This window comes from Homo sapiens, chromosome 22 (assembly GCF_000001405.40).
Source record: "Homo sapiens chromosome 22, GRCh38.p14 Primary Assembly".
Lineage (NCBI taxonomy): Eukaryota > Metazoa > Chordata > Mammalia > Primates > Hominidae > Homo > Homo sapiens.
In genome coordinates, this window is record NC_000022.11 from 28,222,028 (window position 1) to 28,243,064 (window position 21,037).

At 38.3% G+C, this 21,037-nt stretch overlaps 1 protein-coding gene and 1 non-coding gene across 12 annotated transcripts in view; both read right to left on the reverse strand.

Annotated features, from left to right (window-relative positions):
• The window catches only part of TTC28 (tetratricopeptide repeat domain 28), a 701,827-nt gene that overhangs the window by 244,014 nt on the left and 436,776 nt on the right, over nt 1–21,037 (reverse strand). The gene's annotated exons all lie outside the window — the stretch shown is intronic.
• On the reverse strand, nt 10,729–10,796 carry LOC124905171 (small nucleolar RNA SNORD42). Its single transcript, XR_007068170.1, has one exon. It is a non-coding gene; the product is annotated as a small nucleolar RNA SNORD42 (small nucleolar RNA).

Consider the following 21,037-nt stretch of genomic DNA (forward strand, 5'->3'; position numbering starts at 1 on the left):
GCCTAATTTAGCTCCCCAACTCTCACCTCCATTTCCGCCTGCTATACACCCACTTCTTGCAATATTGATGGGAGCTCTGTGTATATGCCTGGGTTCACCTAGCTGCTGCTCTTTAATGAGCATTGATGCAGCTGAAGCCTGACACAGAGGGCTGAAAAAACAGCACTAAATCTTTTATGGACAAACTGCAAATCTGCATGTACAGTCAGACATTTCCCCTGTTGACCTAGAGCTCTGATCACCAGATGTGAGAGGTAAAGCAGAACACAACACCCACATGTTTTCAAAAGAGGGAAAATCCCAAGTTTAGTTCATGGCTGCCACTGTGGGTAACCCAGAAAACCTACACGACCCGAAGGTGATTTTAAGTCCCTATCCTTTTGCTGACAAGAAAAACATGTCTTGGCACTTGGTACCTTAATGTCTAAAGCTACAGTAAAAGTATTTCCTCTTTAAAATTCATTCTGCAGTGAGAATGGCTTCCTTCTGCCCTTGCATGTGAGACTTTAATGAGTAAACCTAATGTACACACAAAAAGTTGGATCACAGATCCAGCAATTACTACTTCTGAGGCTGGCTATTGAGTTCTGCATTAAGAAATGTTCAGAAGCTATCCACCTCCTATTGGGCGAGGGAGAAAAGGGCTATTCATCATCCTCAGACATGCACAACAGTATCAGTCAATTCTCTTCTATGGTGAAAGATTTTAAGTTGAAATGAATCTTTCAAATCCAATTGTTCATACTCAAGGTGACCCCAACAAGGAGTGGCTAGAAACAAGGCCTGAGCCGATCTGTACAAGCCCTTTTCAGCCTTTTAATATGGATATTAAACCCTAGAAATGGGAACAAATTATGCACACATCTTTTCATTTTAGTTTAAAATATGCACAGATCCATGTTTTAAAATGGCTCTTTGGCCTAAAACAATGAAGGAACTCCATTCACAATGAGGGACAAGCATTAGGTATGCTGACAAAAAGGGAATTAATTTGCTTAATATGTCCTTAGAGTCAGACTTTTGGAGAGAAAATATCCAGGAACTGAAAGGCCCTTCTGTCCAGACGCTCTCAGCATGACACTGAACACAACAGTTGTGTTCCATGGAGAGGGGCGGCCAGAGCCAGCATGTTGTGCAGCATCCTGGCTTGTCTGCTTGCTCTTTGGTCCTTCCTTCTTTCCATCCCACAAATACTCACTGAGAACATACCAATGTGCTTACTGCAATAGGCTCCTTCCTTTCAGAGAAGAATTTATACAGTAGCATAAGAAGCAAAGGATGTGAAAAAGAAACTTTTACTCCACATTGGGTGAAGCCAGCAAAGTCCCTCTGGAAAGGATACCTTGGTTTCTTCTTCAAAAGAAGAAATTGAAATTGAGAAAATATTTACTTCTACTATTCATTGTTAAACGTTTACAGGAAGCTACTATAATGATTTCAGCTTCTATAATCTATTTTGATGAGCTTCAAACATCTGTGTTTTAGAACTTAATTATCTGAACTAGATTTGATCTGTTTTTGCATCCCCACAGTTGGCCACAGCAGTGGAACATCCTGAATGATTATAGCCTGAACTTCCCAAAGAGATTTCTCTGAAAAGGTCTCACTGTTCAGTAACAGAAGGTATTTTATAGAAAACAAGCACAATTACACAAGTGGCTAGGTTCAAGATTTAATGTGTACATGGTACCTACATGAATAAACATTTTTCCACTATATCTCAAAAATGGAAAATGAAAAGAAATGGCTTTCTAAATTAATATAGTAAAGTTCACAAGAAAGTTATAAAACCTGACATTATAAAGAAATAAAAACTCACAAAAGCCTGATATTAAACCTTCCCTTCTACACGGGCTTTGGATTTTGGCGGGAAAATCCCACGAGACTGACTAATATTTGTACAGACTAACAGTTTATAAAACACTTTATATGTTATTTCTTTTCATCCTCTATAGCAATGATTCTCAGCTAGGGCAATTTCCTCCCTCCAGGGACATCTGGGAATGTCTGGAGACATGTTTAGTTGTCACGACTTGTGGTAGGAGAGTTGCTACTGGCAACTAGTGGGCAGAGGTCAGTGATGCCGCTAATCATCCTACGATGCACAGAACAGACCCCCACAATAACGGAGGACCCAGGACCACATGTTAGCAGTGCTGAGGTGGAGAAACCCTTCTCTATAGCAGTGCTTCTTGAGCTTTAAGGTGCATGTGTCATGTTAAAATGCAGTAGGTCTGGGGCAGGATCTGAGATTCTGCATCCCTCACCAACTCCCAGGTGATGCTGATGTTGCTGGTCCACAGAATACCAAGGTTCCATAGCACATGTAGTATGCAATGTGCCTGTCTTATACAGCCCTTCTCAAGGGCCGCTCTGTTCTCAAACCCCTAGTGAGTAGGTTATATGACCACCCTTCCCTTCATGGCTCTTAATACCTTGATGGACCCCAGAACCCAAGTAAGCCAGTCAAATAACCTCTCAAGAATTTATCATGTCTCAGGAACTCTAGAAAGTTTCTGCTAAAAACTAGGAGCTGGCAATCAATTCTGGGAGTTAGAAACTGATATAGGGCTAGGTCCAGAATGGATATGTATTTGGTCCATGTGCACAGAGAAACAGAAGTTTCTGAGCTAAATGGGCTGGTGGAGGGGGTCATGGGGGCAGGGAGATGGCTGATGAGAAGCAAATATAAGAAAGTGATCTCCCCTTCATTCTACAGTTCCTCCTGAGGCCCCAGCTGAACTTCTTGCCCCAGCATTCATTAGAAACCTCTATATAGTGTGACTACATTCCCTTTTTTGCTTAAACTAGTTTAAGAAGGTTTATTTGCTTAAAACAACTGATTCTTGACCAGAATATGTTCATAATGATTGTCCTCAACCCTGAGATACATAACTATCACTTAGAAATTCGGCAGCTTTCCCAATGTTAGTAAGAACCAGTAAATGGCAAAGCACAATTTTTTATGCCTCCAGATCCCGTGCTCCTTAAACAGGCTATCCATTAACAATCAAATAATAAACCTTACAGACTACTGCCACATCTCACAGAAAAACAATGGTGCTGGCTGGGCACAATGGCTCACCTGTAATCCCAGCACTTTGGGAGGCCGAGGTCAGGAGTTTGAGACCAGCCTGGCCAACATAGTGAAACCCCATCTCTACTAAAAATACAAAAATTGGCCAGGCGTGATGGTGCATGCATGTAGTCCCAGCTACTCGGGAGGCTGAGGCAGAAGAATTGCTTGAACCCGAAAGGCGGAGGTTGCAGTGAGCCGAGATCATGCCACTGTACTCCAGCCTGGGCAACAGAGTGAGAGATTCTGTTAAAAAAAAAAAGAAAAGAAGAAGAAGAAGAAGAAGAAGAAGAAGAAGAAAGAAGAAGAAAAGAAAAACAATGGTGCTTCAAATTTTCATTCCGTTTTCCCAAGTTACCCATTCCTGCTTCCACCAAAGGAAATGTCTCCAACTCTTCAAATTGAGATCAACTTTTCTGCCACGGACAAACAGCAACACAATTACAAAAAGAAATAATAATGACCTAAAGAAGGGTAGAATTGCACAGATAATTGAAAATAGCATGCAATTTATTTACTGAGGTAATTGACAAAAAATAAATAACATATATTGAAGTGTACAACTTGTAAGCTCTGACATATGTGTACACTTGTAAAATCACCACGGCAGGCAACATAGTGAACATATCCCATCCACCAACCAAAATTTTTCTCATGCCCCTTTGCATTCGCTACTTTTTGTCCTACCTCCTTACCCCTATTACCAGGCAACCACTGATTTGCTTTCTGTGCCTAAAGATTAGTTTGCATTTTGTAGAGCTTCATATAAGTGAAATCATTTTGTAGATACTCTGTCTTTGTTGGGCTTCTTTCACTCAACATAATGATTTTGAGATTCAACCATGTTGTTACATGTATCAGTAGTTTGTTCCTTTTTATTAGTGAGAAGTATTCTGTTGTTTGGATATACTACCACACTTTGTTTATCCATTCACCTGCTAGTGGATATTTGGATTGTTTCCAGTTTTTGGCTATTATAGATAAAGCTGCTATGAATGTTCATGTACAAATCTTTGTGTAGACGTATGCTTTCTTTTCACTAGTGTAAATTTGTAGGAGTGAAACGGTTCGGTCATATGGTAGGTATGTGTTTAACTTTGTAGGGAACTGCCAAACTGTTTTCCAAAGTGGTGGTACAACTTTGCATTCTCAGCAGCAGTGTATGGGAGTTCTAGTTCTTCCATATCCTTGTCAAAACTCAGTGTGGTCAGTGTTTTTAATTTTAGCCATTCTAATGGGCATGTAGGCTTGCTCACTGTAGTTTAAATTTGCATTTCCCTAAATACTATTGATGTTGAGCTTTTTCTGTTCTCTTCTCTTCTTTTCTCTTCTCTTTTTATGAGACAGAGTCTCACTCTGTCTTTCCAGGCTGGAGTGCAGTGGTGCAATCTCAGCTCACTGCAACTTCTGCCTCCCAGGTTCACGTAATTCTCCCACCTCCGCCTTCCGAGTAGCTGGGACTACAGGTGGGCGCTACCACACTTGGCTAATTTGTGTATTTTTTGGTAGAGACAGGGTTTCACCATGTTGGCCAGGCTGGTTTTTAACTCCTGACCTCAAGTGATCCACCCGCCTTGGCCTCCCAAAGTGTTGGGATTAGAGACGTGACCACTGCACCCGGCTGATGTTGAGCATTTTTTAATGTTGTTTTTGTCACTCAGTGCCATTATTTGACCAAGTATCTGTTCAACTCTTTTGTCAGGTTTTAAACTGTGGTATTTGTTTACTTTTATTTCTCAATTATATCTTTCAAAGAGCAGAAGTTATTATTTTGATGAAGTCCAGTTTCTCCATTCTATAGGACTATTCAGGTCATCTGTTTATTTTTTGTTTTGTTTTGTGACAGGGTCTCACTCTGTCCACCCAGGCTGGAGTGCAGTAGAGCAATCATAGCTCACTGTAACCTCAAACTCCTGGCTCAAATGATCTTCCCACCTGAGGTTCTCAAGTAGCTGGGACTACAGATGCACACCTCCATGCTCGGCTAATTTTTATTTTATTTTTATTTTTTTAGAGATGGGGTCTCACTATATTGCCCAGGCTGATCTCAAACTCTTGGCCTCAAGTGATCCTCTGACCCTGGCCTCTCAAAGAATGAAGTGAATCTTTACCTTACACCATACATAAAAATCAACTCAAAATGGATGAAAGACCTAAACTCAAGAGCTAAAACTATAAAACTCTTAGAATAAAACATTGAGGAAAAGCTTCGTGACATTGGATTCTGCAATGCTTTCTTAAATATGACACCAACAGCATGAGTGACACAGCTCAAAATCAATCAGCTGAACTTTATCAAAATTAATAACTTTTGTGTATCGAAGGTCACTACCAAAGAAGTAAAAAGACAACACACAAAATGGAACAAAATATTTGCAAATATACCTAAAAAGGGATTTATACCCAGAATATGTAAAGAACTCCTACAACCCAATTCAAAAATGGACTTGGAACTTGAAGACATTTCTCCAAACAAGATACATAAATAGCTAATAAGCACATATTAAGTATCTATTTAATATCACTAGTCATTAGGAAAATGCAAATCAAAACCACAATGAGATACCACTTCGCACTCATTAGGATGTTATTACAGATTTGAAAAAAAAAAAACAAGTGTTAGCAAGGATATAGAGAAATTGGAACCCTTGTGCACTGCTAGTGGGAATGTAAAATGGTACAACCATTGTAAAAAACAGTACGGCAGTTCCTCAAAAAGTTACCTATAGAATTACCATATGATTCAGCAATTCTACTCCTGGGTATATACCCAAAAGAATTGAAAGCAGGACCTCAAATAGATATTTGCACGTCCATGTTTATAGCAGCATTATTCACAATAGCCCAAAGGTGAAAGCAACCCAAATGTCCATTATAGATTAATGGATAAACAAAATGTGGTATATACATACAATAAAATATTATTCAGACTTCAAAAAGAAGGAAATTCTGATGCATGCTACATGAATAAACCTTGAAGACATTAAAAGTGAAATAAGGCAGACACAAAAGGATGCATACTGTGTGATTCCACTAATACGAGATACCTAGAGTAAACAAATTCACAGAGACAGAAAGGAGAATGATGGTTGCTACAGGCTGAGGAGGAAAGGAGAATGAGGAGTTGACTGTTTAATAGGCACAAAATTCAAGTTGGGAAAATGAAATTGTTCTGGAGATGGATGGTGGTAGTAGTTGCAAAACAATGTTAAAATATTTAATGGCACTGAACTGTGTAGCTAAAATGGTTAAAATAGTAAATTTTGTTATGTATGTTTTACCACAATAAAAATAAATTTTAAAAATACATGTTTGGCCAGGTGCGGTAGCTCATGCCTGTAATCCCAGCACTTTGGAAGACCGAGGCAGGGGGATTACCTGAGGTCAGGAGTTCAAGACCAGCCTGGCCAACATGGCGAAAACCCGTCTCTACTAAAAATACAAAAATTAGCTGGGCGTGGTGGTGTGCAACTGTAATCCCAGCTACCCAGGAGGCTGAGGCAGGAGAATCGCTAGAACCCGGGGGGCAGAGGTTGCAGTGAGCCGAGATTGCGCCACTGCACTCCAGCCTGGGCAACAGAACAGGACTCCATCAAAAACAAAAACAAAAACAAAAAACACACACACACAGTTTAGACTTCACTCAAGATCTGAGGAAGGTCACTCTAAGACACTGAAGATCCTTTTATTGGTAGGAACTTTAAAAATTTTTTCTTTAAATCAATAAATGGAATATAAATATTTTCTCGATTGTTTAAAAAACTACACCCCGGCGAGGCGTGGTGGCTCACGCCTGTAATCCCACCATTTTGGGAGCCTCAGGCAGGCAGATCACAAGGTCAGGAGATCGAGACCATCCTGGCCAACACAGTGAAACCCCATCTCTACTAAAAATACAGAAAATTAGCCGGGCATGGTGGCACACGCCTGTAGTCCCAACTACTCAGGAGGCTGAGGCAGGAGAATCGCTCGAACCTGGGAGGTGGAGGTTGCAGTGAGCTGAGACCGTGCCACTGCACTCCAGCCTGGGCGACAGAGCAAGACTCCATCTCAAAAAACAAACAAACAAAAAAACTACACCCTCTCCAATAGGAAAATAAAGTCAATTTCAAGGGAAAAAGTAAGCTAATTTTGTAGTTCTGGGTAGAATATCTACTGTCTTTAAAAATCACACACAGAATAAATAAGTTCTCCATTTGGCTTTAATAATACAAACCAAAAAAATTAAGTGAAGCCAGCTAAAATAAAGGGGGACCAAGTGAATCAAGAACATCCTTAACTTTCAACAGCTATCATAATGAACTGCTATCAACCATTGCCAGCAAAAAGCTGACTCCAAAACTATTCAGTTCAACCTTATAGACCTATTCTAGTGTAGATAAATAAAATATGGAAGCAACGAGCTTGTTCAAGTACTCCAGATTCAACTAATTTCACTATTTTGTTATCCTTCTATTTTAACAATATATTTGAGGCTATATAAAGTCAAGGGAGGTCCTCAAAACAATGTTATAGACTAGTAATATGGAGGCAACAAGCAGCTTCCTAAGAGCTGCTAGTCTTAAAAGCTTATTCCCCACCACCCCTTTCAATTCTACAAGCATACGAATCAGGAGTTAAGAACAGTCATCCAGCATTCAGAGTAGTAACTCAAGCCTCATTCTGAGCTCTGTGGGTTAGACACAGCATAACTGCCCAGAAATGTCCACTGCTACCAGACAGAAATAATGATGTGTTCCTTTCTCTGTGAAAGGATTTTGAGAATTACAGTTCTTTAAAACATTTTGAGATGCTTAAATTTAAAAAAAAATCTAAAAAGGGCAAAATTCCATTTCTAATGGCTTCATGAAGTGGTAATAAATAGAATGCACACATGCAATGTGTCTGGTCTCCAAGCAGAATATTTGAATAGTGGGAACCTGGTATCCAGTTTGGTCCCCAGCTGACAGATACCAGTTGGAAATGAAAGAATGGAAAAAGCCATTGTGGCAGTAGTCTGCATCCTGCAAGAGCAGATTCTGACCGGCATCACTTCCGCAGTGAAAGGTAACAAAATCTGACAGAGAAAAATTCAGTCTCCTTTTCTACTTGTAATTGTCACATCAGCCCAAGTGGAAGTATGTTATATGAGAGATACAGCAAAGAATGCAAGCAAATATCACTGGCCACAGAAAGGCCCCTCCCAGCCAAACCAAGGCAGAATTTCTCAAGGATGAGCAGTATTCCACAGAGAGATCTGTTGGCTGTAAAAAGCTTACTGATCCTGCTGAAGCTTTCTGCAGATTATTAAAATTCAAGAGATCCAGATGAGACTTGTTACAATCCATTCATAGGTGACTACAACATAAGACTGAGTCTTCACATAGAGGGGAAGGGTCTTTGTCTTCTCATTGCCCAGAAAAGAAAACAACCCTTTTATTCTCCTGGACATCAGAGGAGATTCTTCAAAAGAGGTTCCTCCACATTTCCTTTACATGCCATGCCAGATTCATCCAGGTGCCTTCCCTGAATTACACAGATGTTTTAGAATACAGAGAGAGACTGGGGGAGGTTCGAGAGAAATAGGATATTTTCCCTTAGACGTATATCCTATAGTAGCAGCTGGGAAGGGTCTGAACATTAAGTCAAGTGTGAGTTGAACCAAAATTTTTTCTGTATGGGCAGAAAAATTTTATATAATTGTAAACTATTAGTTCTCATTCATTCCAATTCCAGGATTTTAATCCTCCTCAGCCAAGAGAAATGACCTAATAGGAAGTCTAACCTCATTACTCAATTCTGTGTGTGAGGTTTTGGCAAAATGTTTAAGAGAGATGTGTGCACCTATGTGGGAAGCCTGTACTGATGAAAAATGTATCAAGTGTTTTATGGGTATGAATTATAATAAATACTAGTATATAACTTGGGTGATGCCCAAGTTATCCCCAAGTACTTATTTAGGTATGTTCTAAAGTCAGTATCTTTCAACAATCTTTTCTTTTCTTTCAACAATCTGTTCATGCCACAACTACTGACTACATATCTAGCACGTATAGGTACTGTGCTAGAAAGAGAAGCTGGAAGGTGGGAATACATAGATAAATTAAACATAGTCTCTGCACTTGAAGAACCAACAGTCTACAGCAGGAGATAGATATGTAAACAAATGCTTTAACACATGGGATAAATGCTTTAATACATGGACTGAATACACGGATAAGTTCTTTAATACACAGAAACACAAAGAGAAAATCAGAACATCTGAGACTAAGGTTTGTTTGTTTTTTGTTTTGTTTTGTTTTGTTTTTGTTTTTAAACACAAGGCAGGGGATTGAGCCTGGAGTCCTATTTTTAAATTTTAAGTCCAAATCCCTGAAGAGGTCAAAATATATAATTTGCATCTTTAACTCTTCTAATTCCTCCTACAGTCACAAGATAAACCTAATACAAGAGTGGCTCATGTCTGTAGATCACAGCAGGGAACTGCTCTTTGTTCTATTTGGTTTACAAGTCCTATGTGGGTTGTGGAATGTTAGCAGTTTACACATGGCTGGTGAAGAGAAGCTATGCAAGAGTTGTCAGGAACTCAGCTGTGATAGACCAGGCATGGCCATTAGGAAAGCCCATGAAAATAAATGTCCTGGAAGGAAGACAGTTGTTGTTCCAAAGAATCAAAGTCAAACATCAGGTCATTTGTCCATCTAAACATACACTTATTCCAGCTTTGATAACAGCAAGAAAACAACTGACAATGGTTTATTAATATGAAACAAATAATCAATGGTGTGAAGATGTAAGGGACGTTTTCTTTCTGATTTGATACAAGCCTTAAATACTTAATCTAGACTTACACACCTAGGGGCCACAGTAGTTCATAATTGAGAAAGTATCCAGCAGAGAGTTGGGAATTATGGATAATTTTTAGAAGGATTACCCTACAACCATGGAAGTCAGGTATTAGCTTTCTTTTATCAGACAGTGATGGGGAAATGCCAGCCCACAGTCTTTTTTAAGGAAAACCACTTCTTCATCCCACCCCTGCTGAGAGCCATAGCTGCTCATGAAGTACCACAGGATTTCAACCACTCCAGCACAGCTGTTTGAGTCAGGTGTGGGCATCTGACTGAAAGCCAATCAATTGAATGATCAATAACGTATTTTGTGACCTGTAATGAAGAAAAGAGCTCCAACCAATCAGATTAATCTACTTTCAGGAATTTAATAAATATTAAAAGAATGTGGCTGTTAAGAGTGAATCTAAAGCCAAAAGAATGCAAAAAAAAGAGGCCTCATGGGGCAGCCTTTCAGGCATAGGAGCTCATATCAAGGCCTAAGGGAATAATCCTCAGCAAGCAGCAGCAATCTTGACAGAGAGACCCTAGGTGGTCCATCACATAGAGAAAGCTGCTAGTCCTTGCTGGAGTTTCCGTTCCGGGGTACATGTATCCTCATAATATGCTCCCTTTCTCTTAACATTTGTTTTGCAAATGTCTGTTTGAAACCAACAGAACCCAACTATAAATGAAAAAAACCACAACTCAATGTAATTAAATAATCAGTTGAGTGGTACACCAGCTAGAATCCTGTACATGGCTCAAGACAGAACAGATGGATGGATGAATAAATAAAATAATTAGTGTCTCTTGCAGGTTTATGAATAGTTTTTCTTTCTCTTACTTAGGGTTCCTTTGATGACATCACATTGTCTAAGTAATTTTAAATTTTTTCCATTTTAGGGCTGGGCACGCTGGTTCACGCCTGTAATCCCGGCACTTTGGGAGGCTAAGGTGGGTGGATTGCCCGAGGTCAGGAGTTCAAGACCAGCCTGGCCAACATAGTGAAACCCCATCTCTACTAAAAATACAAAAAATTAGCTGGGCGTGGTGACGGGCACCTGTAATCCCAGCTACTCGGGAGGCTGAGGCAGGAGAATCGCTTGAACCCGGGAGGCAGAGGTTGCAGTGAGCTGAGATCACACCATTGCACTCCAACCTAGGCAACAAGAGTGAAACTCTGTCTCAAAAAAAAAAAAATCCATTTTAATTTTCAATTGCTTTTCCCTTGTTGCTTTATAATTATTCATTCTTCAATATTATTTGAGCATTAAAATTCTGGATTTTTTTCAGTGATAATTTTTTTAAAAATCAAGTATACTGGTAGAAAGAGTAGTCTAAAGTTCTCCCAGTTGAGTTATATTAGAATTCTGGATAATCTCATAATTTACCGCTTTTAAATTTGACCATATATCTTCACGTAATTTTGCTCATATTTTAATTATTTTCATTTCCCTTCATTACAGGGAGATATCTCTATACCTCACAAAATGTACACATTTTTATTAATGTATTATTTATACACTCTTCTAGAATGTTGCCATATTGTTTAATATGTGAATATCTGTCCATTATACAACTAGTGAAATAATGAAAAATAAAATAAAATGATAAAAAATAACCCAGAGGTTGATTCCCCAGTTAGACATATGTATTCCAAGTATTCTTCAGACATTACAGACTCACCAGCAATACATCACACCACTCAAAGGCATGTATTGTATTTGTTACAAGAGCACAATAAGCCATAACTAATGTGCATACTACAGTCTAATAGATCACGAGTTAAATGACAATGGAAGAATTTACCAAAATTATTAGAGAAAAAGGACCTTTTTTGTTTTTTGGAGATGGAGTCTCATTCTGTCGCCCAGGCTGGAGTGCAGTGGCGCAATCTCAGCTCACTGCAACTTCTGCCTCCTGGGTTCAAGCGATTCTCCAGCCTCCTGAGTAGCTGGGACTACAGGCACCCACCACCACACCTAGCAAATTAGTTTTTTTTTTTTTTTTTGAGACAGAGTCTTGCTGTCGCCCAGGCTAGAGTGCAGCGGCACAATCTTGGCTCACTGCAATCTCCGCCTCCCGGGTTCACGCTGTTCTCCTGCCTCAGCCTCCCGAGTAGCTGGGACTATAGGTGCCTGCCACTACGCCCGGCTAATTTTTTGGATTTTTTAGTAGAGACAGGTTTCACCATGTTAGCCAGGATGGTCTCGATCTCCTGACCTCGTGATCCGCCGGCCTCGGCCTCCCAAAATGCTGGGATTACAGGCATGAGCCACCGCACCTGGCCAAATTTTTTGTATTTTAGTAGAGATGGGGTTTCACTGTGTTGCCCAGGCTGGTCTCGAACTCCTGAGCTCAGGCAATCCGCCTGCCTGGGCCTCCCAAAGTGCTAGGATTACAGGCGTGAGCCACCACTTACCAGGACCTAAAATTCTACATTAGCCTCATCTTCTAATTTTTTTTGTTTGTTTTGAGAAGGAGTCTCCCTCTGTCACCCAGGCTACAGTACAGTGGCACGATCTCAGCTCACTGCAACCTCAGCCTCCTGGGTTCACGTGATTCTCCTGCCTCAGCCTCCTGAGTAGCTGGGATTATAGGTGTGCACCACCACACCCAGCTAATTTATGTATTTTTAGTAGAGATAGGGTTTCACCATGTTAGCCAGGCTGGTCTCGAACTCCTGACCTCAAGTGATCCACCCACCTCCGGCTCCCAAAGTGCTGGGATTACAGGCATGAGCCACTAACGCCCGGCCTCATCTTCTAATTTAAACACTATACAGAATTAGGGAGAAGCTGAGATCCCTTGGAGTGTTTATCTATATATAGTGAAATAAGGGTGTGAGTAAAATTCCTGAATCCTCAGAGGCATACTAGGTAATTGGCCTCCACTATGCCCCACAAATAGAATTTACTTCTAAACTAGAATTGTGATGCTAAATTGTTCCAGTGGGAATGTGAGCTTATACACAATAAGCTCCTAAAATATACTCACTGATAGACAACCAGCTAATGATTACCTCCAACTTGAGTTGTGATCTTTTATGTTATTGCCAAGGAAGGGGACTTTTTGATACGCAGAATTACGAGGTTGAGTCATATAATATTAGAAAAGGAAAGACTGAGATGTTTAATCTAGCCCTCTCATATGGCAGTTGGGAAATGAAAGCCCAAAGAGATGAAACAGCTCTCCCAGAGTCACAAGAAATGTCAGTGGCAAAGCTGCCACCAGCCCTCAGGTCACTTTCTTTTAGTCCAGACTTCACTGCTCTTTGTTATTCTCATAATGTCCTTATTGTTTTGTTTTTTATTCTAAAATAGGCAAGATGAAGAGACCAGAGAAGAAAGTAATATTTGTACTAGCATTTGATGCCTGATCTGTTGCCTTCCCTCAACTCCATCTAGGAAAGGATAATTAACTTCACCTTCACTAAAACTCTGTAGTAATCAGTGGCAAATCTAACTGGCCTCTAAATATCAGATTTCTCCTTTCCATTAATAATTCCTAATATTCAAGGTAAAACACTGCTGTAAGTGAGGTTCTAGCTAAAGTTAGATAAGAATGGGGTTTAAATGCAGGCTTTTAAACTATAAAGGAAGACTAGCCCTGTCAGATAAGAAAACATTTTATAAAGTTTCTAGAATAGAACAACATGGTAGTAGTGTCTGAACAGACAAAAATAACACTGGAATAGAACATGAAGTCCAGAACACACACAACTAAATAAGGAAATTTAGAATATGGTAATGGTAGCGTCTCAAAGCACTGAAGCAGATTTTAATAAAGGTTGATGGGGAAAACTGAATAGTCTTTGGGAAAAGATAAAAATTAGATCCATACCTCCTACTATACACAAGGATAAACTCCAAATGGATCATAGATTAAAATGTAAAAACTGAAACCATGTAACTGTTCTATTGTTAACTTCGTTAAGTTGGAACTACAATTCCTGGAACCCTCTTCTTTGTATGGTTTCAGGTTAGAATATGCCAATAGACGAACTTTTAAGAAACTTGGGAGGTGGAAGTGAAATAGCAGCTACTGCTTTCTAAGAGTCTTCATTGACTAATGTGATGGTGCCTGGTAAGTTCCAGTTTTTCATCTTTCTCCAGGTGACTGCTGATCTTGCTGACCAACAGCAGTCCCAGGTCCATCACCAAATGCCTCGTAATGATTACATGGAAGCAACATCTTCCCCACAGATCCCCTCCACACACCACCTTCACAATCCTAGTTCCGCAGCTAGACATGCTTGGCTTCTCAGGTTTTTCTGCCAGCTCCAGTTTGTCCACTTGCACCAGCTTCAGGAAGAGAGATTGGTGACTTTTGCATTGATCCTCCAACACCCTCTTTTGAACTTTCATTTCTTTAGCTATTCCCACATTTGCATAATGTCCATCCTGTATTAAATTCCTTATCCTGTAACATGTATAGTGAATTTGCTTGCATGACCGATATTATTATTGGTGTTCGGAGTAGAGTTCCAAGGTAAAGAATGAAAAGGATGGGAATCTGGAATTGGTTCTTTGATCTGCCTAGACTTAAGTCTTTAAAGGCATTCATGACCCTATTGATAGTGATAAATAGGACACTGGTAATAGGTGGCATACAGTGACAAACAGATAATACAAGTATTACCTGTAGTCACCTGAAGTCAAGTGCCAATAAACTGCAAAGCTTCGGGTGACCAAGACGCTGATGCCATTGTACAACAGTACATGTTAGTGGAAATAGAGTTTAAGGATATGGGCTTGGTCAACTGCTTCCTAAGCATGCTGGAGAACTTGAGGAAAAGAAAATTATTATCTCAACACTTTAAATTCCAGCGTACGTTCAGAGAAAGGAACCAGAAAGCTTCTCTATGATTGTCCTGAAAGATGTCCTTATCTTCTGAAGCCACAGGTTCAAGATTTCAGAAAACTAATTAAGAAATAGAGGGAATGGAACTCTGAAAAATAGGATAAAGACATACAAGCAAATTCTAATGAAGCTGAGGACCTCAAACCCCTAAAGGTTAATCTTTCCTTGCCTGAGAACCTATAATGGCCTCTCCCAAAGTAATTACCTGATTAAAGTAATGGCTGACTAAAACCTGGAACTCCATTTCTCCTTTGTTCCTTTTTCCCCTCTTTATCCTGCCTTCTTCTGGATCAAGTGAGCATTTTTTAGGATCTAATTTTATCTCCTCTATTGACTTTGTGTTCTTGTTCATGTGCTCTCGCTCGCTGGTGCATTCTCTCTCTCTCTTGCTCTCTCCCCACCCTTTTCTCTCCCTTTTTCTTTCTCAATGGTTGCTCTCCACAGCCCTCTTCAACTGAGATTCTATGATAGAATTAAACAATAATGTCCTAACGTGTCCACTGCATGTTGTGATCTAACCCCTCTCCCACGCATCCTAGAATAGTACTGGTTACATTCCATTCTTAGGAGAATTGAGACAGCAGTTACTCAAATCATTTTCTGTGTTTCATGGTTGAAATAAGGAACTCCAGTTGAGAAAGACTGCTAGGGTTTACAGTACACATCTTTAAATTAGTACAGTCTACCTTTAAATAATATTAACTGCTTTATGTATAATGTAAGAATCTTACAACGGTATGTACTTTCATTTCTCCCTCTTATTCTTTGAGCTATTATTGTAATGTATTGTTTTTAAACATGTTATAAGCCCCACAATATACTGTTATCACTGCTGTGTTACCTAGTCAAACATCTTCTAAATAAAATCTTCAAAATACATGAAAAAATGAGGGATATCACTTATATTTATCTACATATTTAAATTTTGGCCTCCCTTCTTTCCTTTGTATAGAATCAAGTTTCTGGTATCATTTTCCCTCCACCTGAAAAAATTCCTTTAATAGTTCTTTAGTGCAAATCTGCTGGCAGTAATTTTTCTCAGCCTTTGCTGAAAATGTTGACTTCACCTCTATTTTTGAAGCAGATTTTTGCTAGATACTGAATTCTGGGGGGAGAGTTTTTCTTTTAACATTACCAAGATATCATCCCATCGTTCTCTGGCTTGTATTGCTTCTAATGAGAAGTCAGTACTCATTCTTATCTTTGTTCCTCTTTATGTAATGTAGTTTCTCTGGCTGTTCTTCAGATTCTCTCTTTTATCATTTATTTTCAGTAGTTTGATTATGTTGTGCCTAGTTGTGACTTACTTTATGTTTTTACTGCACGAATGGGGTTGACAGCTCTTTGGGTATGTAAATTTCATATTAGGAAATTCCTTCATCATTATTTCTTCAAATATTTGTATGCCCACTTTCTGGGAATTCAATTACATATATTCTAGTCTACCTAATAGTATCCAATGGATCACTGAGGTTTTATTAATTTTCCTTGGTCTTTTTTCCTTTGCTTCAGTTTGGATGTTTTCTACTGATGCATCTTTAGGTTATCTGATCTTTTCTTCAGCTGTATCTAATCTCTTTTTAAGCCCATCCAGTCATTTTTCATTTCTGAAATTGTATTTTTCCAATCCAGAAGTTTCATTTGGTTCTTTCACAGAGCTTCCAGTTCTTTTATATTCTATCAAATGTTCTCTTCTAAATCTTTGAAAATGTTTATAATATCTGTTTTAAAGTACTTGTCTGTTAATTCCATCATCTGTGTCATTTACTTGCAAATCAGCCTATTCTAAGACTTGTTTTTAAGTTTTTTAAGGATGAGTTGAGCATAGCCTTTACCAGGGCTGTTTAGTTCTACTTCTAAGATACAGCCTTTTTAGGGTCTCTATTAAATGTCCTGGGTGTTCAACAAGGTCTTTCCATCTGGCCATGTGGTAGTTCTAGTAGTTGTTCAACTCCCAGGTAGTTGTTCTTTCCCTCAATAATTATTTTTTGCCTGGCTTTGTGGAAACTAACCTCACACAAGTATAGCACAGTATTCACCCAAACAGTGAAGAGGACTCACATATAGATTTCTGGAGGTCTTTCTCTTTGTTGCCCCTTCCTGTCTCTGTTCCACAAATTCCAGATGGTTCAGACTCCCCAAACTAATATGTATTTTTCCTCAACTCAATGAAACCATTGTGCTCTATGAGGTTCCTCTCCTTACGACATGACCTGCAAAGTATTCTAGGTAGAAACAGAGTAACTGTAAGGTTCAATGCTCTATTTCCCTTCTGTCAGGGATCACAGTTCTGCGTGATTTGCTCAGGTCTGAAAACAGTATTTTCATATATACTGACCAATGTTGTAGTTGTTTACAGTGGAAGGACTAGTTATTCCATCATGAACAAAGCAGAATTTTTACTTTTCTTTCCTTTTGCTTCAATTTCCCTTCTAACAGTTCTGTTCAACGGAACTCTGCAATAATGGACATATTCTACAATCTTCTTTGTCCAATATGGTAGCCAATAGCCACATGTGGCTATTGAGAACTTAAAATATGACCAGTGACTTTTTATTTCAGCTTGGAAATATAAAACTGGAAAGAGCACCACTCTACCGTACAAGAAGAAAAAAAGCTGGACAAAGTACAAATCAATGACTTTTCTTAAATCCATCAGAGAAGTGAAGTCACAGGGTAGATAACTAACCTAAAATATATAGAGAAGCAAGCAACTACAGACAGAATGAGCATTTGCTTACCTGAGATAGGTGCTGCTAAATATCATAAAAGCCACTAGGAAGATTAAACAAAACAGTTTTACCAAATGCCAAAGGCTTAACATAGTCTAGCATGAGAGCATGAAGCCTATGGAGAACACAGACACAGAGAGGTTATTGCTCTCATGTAGGTTTTTTGGGTTTTTTTCCCCTAGGAACTCTACCAGGCTCTCACAGGAAACATTGATTAGAAAGGAATGGGGCTTGAAAAAAGGGATGGAGACATATGGGCATATTCTGATGAAGATGAGGACCTTGAGCCCCCAAGGGTTGGTCTCTACTTGCCTAAGAATCTGTAACAGCCTTTCCTGAAGGAACTGCCCTGAAGGAGATCTAATCTTCTTTAGACTTACCTCTCATTCCCTCATCATCTCTCATTGCTTCTAGACCAGGGTTTCTCAACAATGTCACTACTGACATTTGGGAATAAATAATTGTTTGTTGTGGGAGCTGTCCTGTGCATTGTAGGATGCTTAGCAGCATCCCTGACCTCTGTCCACTAGATGACAGAAATGAATGAATCTGACTGTATTTCAAATGAGTAATAGAATCATATTAAAGAATAAGAACTAACCCAAGAAACTTTTCAACCCAGTATTTTGACTATGTGCCCTCAGGCAAAGACAAAAACAATCCTTAGGAAATACTGAATGTGTTAGGGAGTTTGTTTTACAGTGGTATGAATTAGTACTTCTGAAACCATATTCTGTATATTAGAGGACTGAGATAATATACAGAGAATAACAGAAAGTCATGTTCCTCACTGTTGGAGAAGGGAATGACACATACAGAAAGAAGAAGACTAGAAAGAATTCTGCTGTGGTATTAAATTGGAATTGGGGGTATCTATAAGGATTCACAATCTTTAATACTTTTTAAAAATATAATACAGAAATAGCTACAGATATATGTATATAAATGGTGTATACATACATGTATATATAAACATGTATCTATAGGTATACATATGTATATATCTGTATACATCTATATACACACAAATACATGTATACATGTATAAATATGTATTTTTCCCTAGCTTAGTCTCCAGAGAGGACCCCAAAACATTGATACCTCATTAGAAATTAGCACACCTAGCACAGAGATCTTGATTTCTAAACCATTCTCCCTTAAAGGGAACCAGGGCTAACTACAGAAATGGCAGCTTGTGGGACCTGGGCAGGGAAGGCAAACCATAAGGCCGGAACATCTTGCTGCACCAGAAAGTAAATAAATGCTCAAAGAATAATGGAGACAAGTCAAAAGAATGTAGTAATTAGCTTAAAAGGACTCCCAGTCTGGGACAATTTGAGTAGCAAATCAAATTAAATAACAATAGAAATAGTCCTTTAACCCATTTAGCAAAATAAGAAATAAAATAATTCATGAGATCACACTGATACAAATGAATAAATAAATGGTGGAAAAGGGAAAGCTCTTTCTGGTAAAACATCAATATAGAAGGAAGGAACAGAAAATGCACAAAGTCTAGTCTCAAAATACCTCCCCACAAATAACTAATAAATTACAAAAGGAAAAAATAGTAACTTCACGATAGAGAAACCTGGCAGACCCCACCTGAACCACATAATCAAAGTTCATTTCCCCAGGTATGAAGCACCCCAATACCATGCGTCTCTTGATAAGATGTACTGAGAAGAATAAGTATCACTTCTGTAGTATTTTTGCCCCCAAAATGGAAAACGAGGATCTAATCATGAAGAAACTTAGATAATCAAATTAAGGAATATTCTATAAAATAAATGGCCTGTATTCTTAAAAAGTGTCAAGGTCAAGGAACACAAAGAATGGCTGAGGTTCTAAGCAGACATGAAAACTAAATGCAAAATCTAATCCTGGATTGGATCCTGGACAAGGAAAAATAGCAGATCAAACATTACTGGGATAATTTATTTAATATTAATATAAAATTTGAGTATGAGCTATGGATTTGATAACTGGACTATGATTATGTAAGAGAATACCCTTATTCTCAATAAATACAAATTTAAGTATTTCGGGGCAAAAGGCAACTGTATGTAATTTACCCTCAAATGGTTCGAGATTAAAAATATATATAGAGAGAGAAAATATGGTAAAACAAATGGGGAAAATAATTATTGAATCTGGGTAAAGGGTACACAGCAGTTCTTTATACTAATTTTACAACTTTTTTGTAAGTTCGGAATTATATAAAAATAAAAAGTTACAAAAATAGGCTTCTTACTCCCTCATGCTTTAGGTATGGGACTTGAAGTAGTTTGGTTATGACAATGTAACAAAGTGATAATGAAACTAGAGGAAGTATAGAGAAAGGGAAATAAAATAAGGAATTAGGATGTGTTTTGTGGTTATACACTAAAAAATATCAGGCTTTTTTTGTAAATAAAAATGCTAAGTAAGGATATAAATGAAGCATTTCTAATCATAAAGAGATGGCCAAAAAAAGACTCATTCAACAGAATTCTAGGAGTACTACAAGAAGCTTAAAAGTGATACTTTGAAGATAAGAAAAGAAGCATTGGTAAGTAAAATGACATAGCAGAAACTATTTCGGGGGATCTTCATAACAACTCACAGATAGCCTCTGCTTTTTGTTCCCTCAGTGGAATACACTGCCTGGCGCCACAGCACACCAATTACCTGTGACTAGTGTCTACTCTCCAGCATTCCCCGGCCCTTTACTCCTTCTAATGGAGTGGGTGGTACACTTTACCAAGAGTCTGTTATGACCGCTCCCAAATAAGTTTATATCACATTTACTTGTTACAGTAATTATGCCATCTGACAGAAACTGATGAACTACAAGTGTAGGAAAAAAGCTCTTGTTTCTCTAAAAACTACAGTGAATACTTTCAAAAGACAATGAATCTGAGGCAAATTTGATATAGGTAAAATAATTATAAAATATTAGAAAAAGCCATAAAAATCTAGAGAGGTTGTACACTTAGATTTCTTTTTAAGTGATGCACTCAATTTTTACAACTCTTTGAAGAAAATGAAATTGTAAATGGACGTGGTTTATGCAGGAATTATTTTACAGAACTCTAAGCCTTGAATTAAAGAAAAGTCATTTGTTCTATATCTTAAGGTTATTGGGTCAGTGTTTTTTTATGTTTAATTGAAATAATATGTTTGAATATGTATATATCTTTGTTATAATTTCTATTTTAAAAGATTTTTTTCCATTAACCAACTAATTACTGGTGCTGACTGGATTAAATAAGTTTCAATTTTACTTAATGTCTGTGACCAATAATATGAAAGAGGCTGGAAGTAATAATAAGCAGATTCATTTTAGATGACACGTTAAAATTAAATTGACATCAAATTGGGCAGGCATGACCTGATACACTGTCTCTCAAAGTATGTAGAATGGTGCTGATGTGCAAACTATTACTGGTCTGTGACAAGATAGGTACAGAAAATGAGAGTAAATATTTAAAATCCTTTAAAAATCAATCTGACAGAGTCATTTTAATCTATTTAATCTAATAATTAAAAAAAAAAAAAAACTGGGCCAGGCG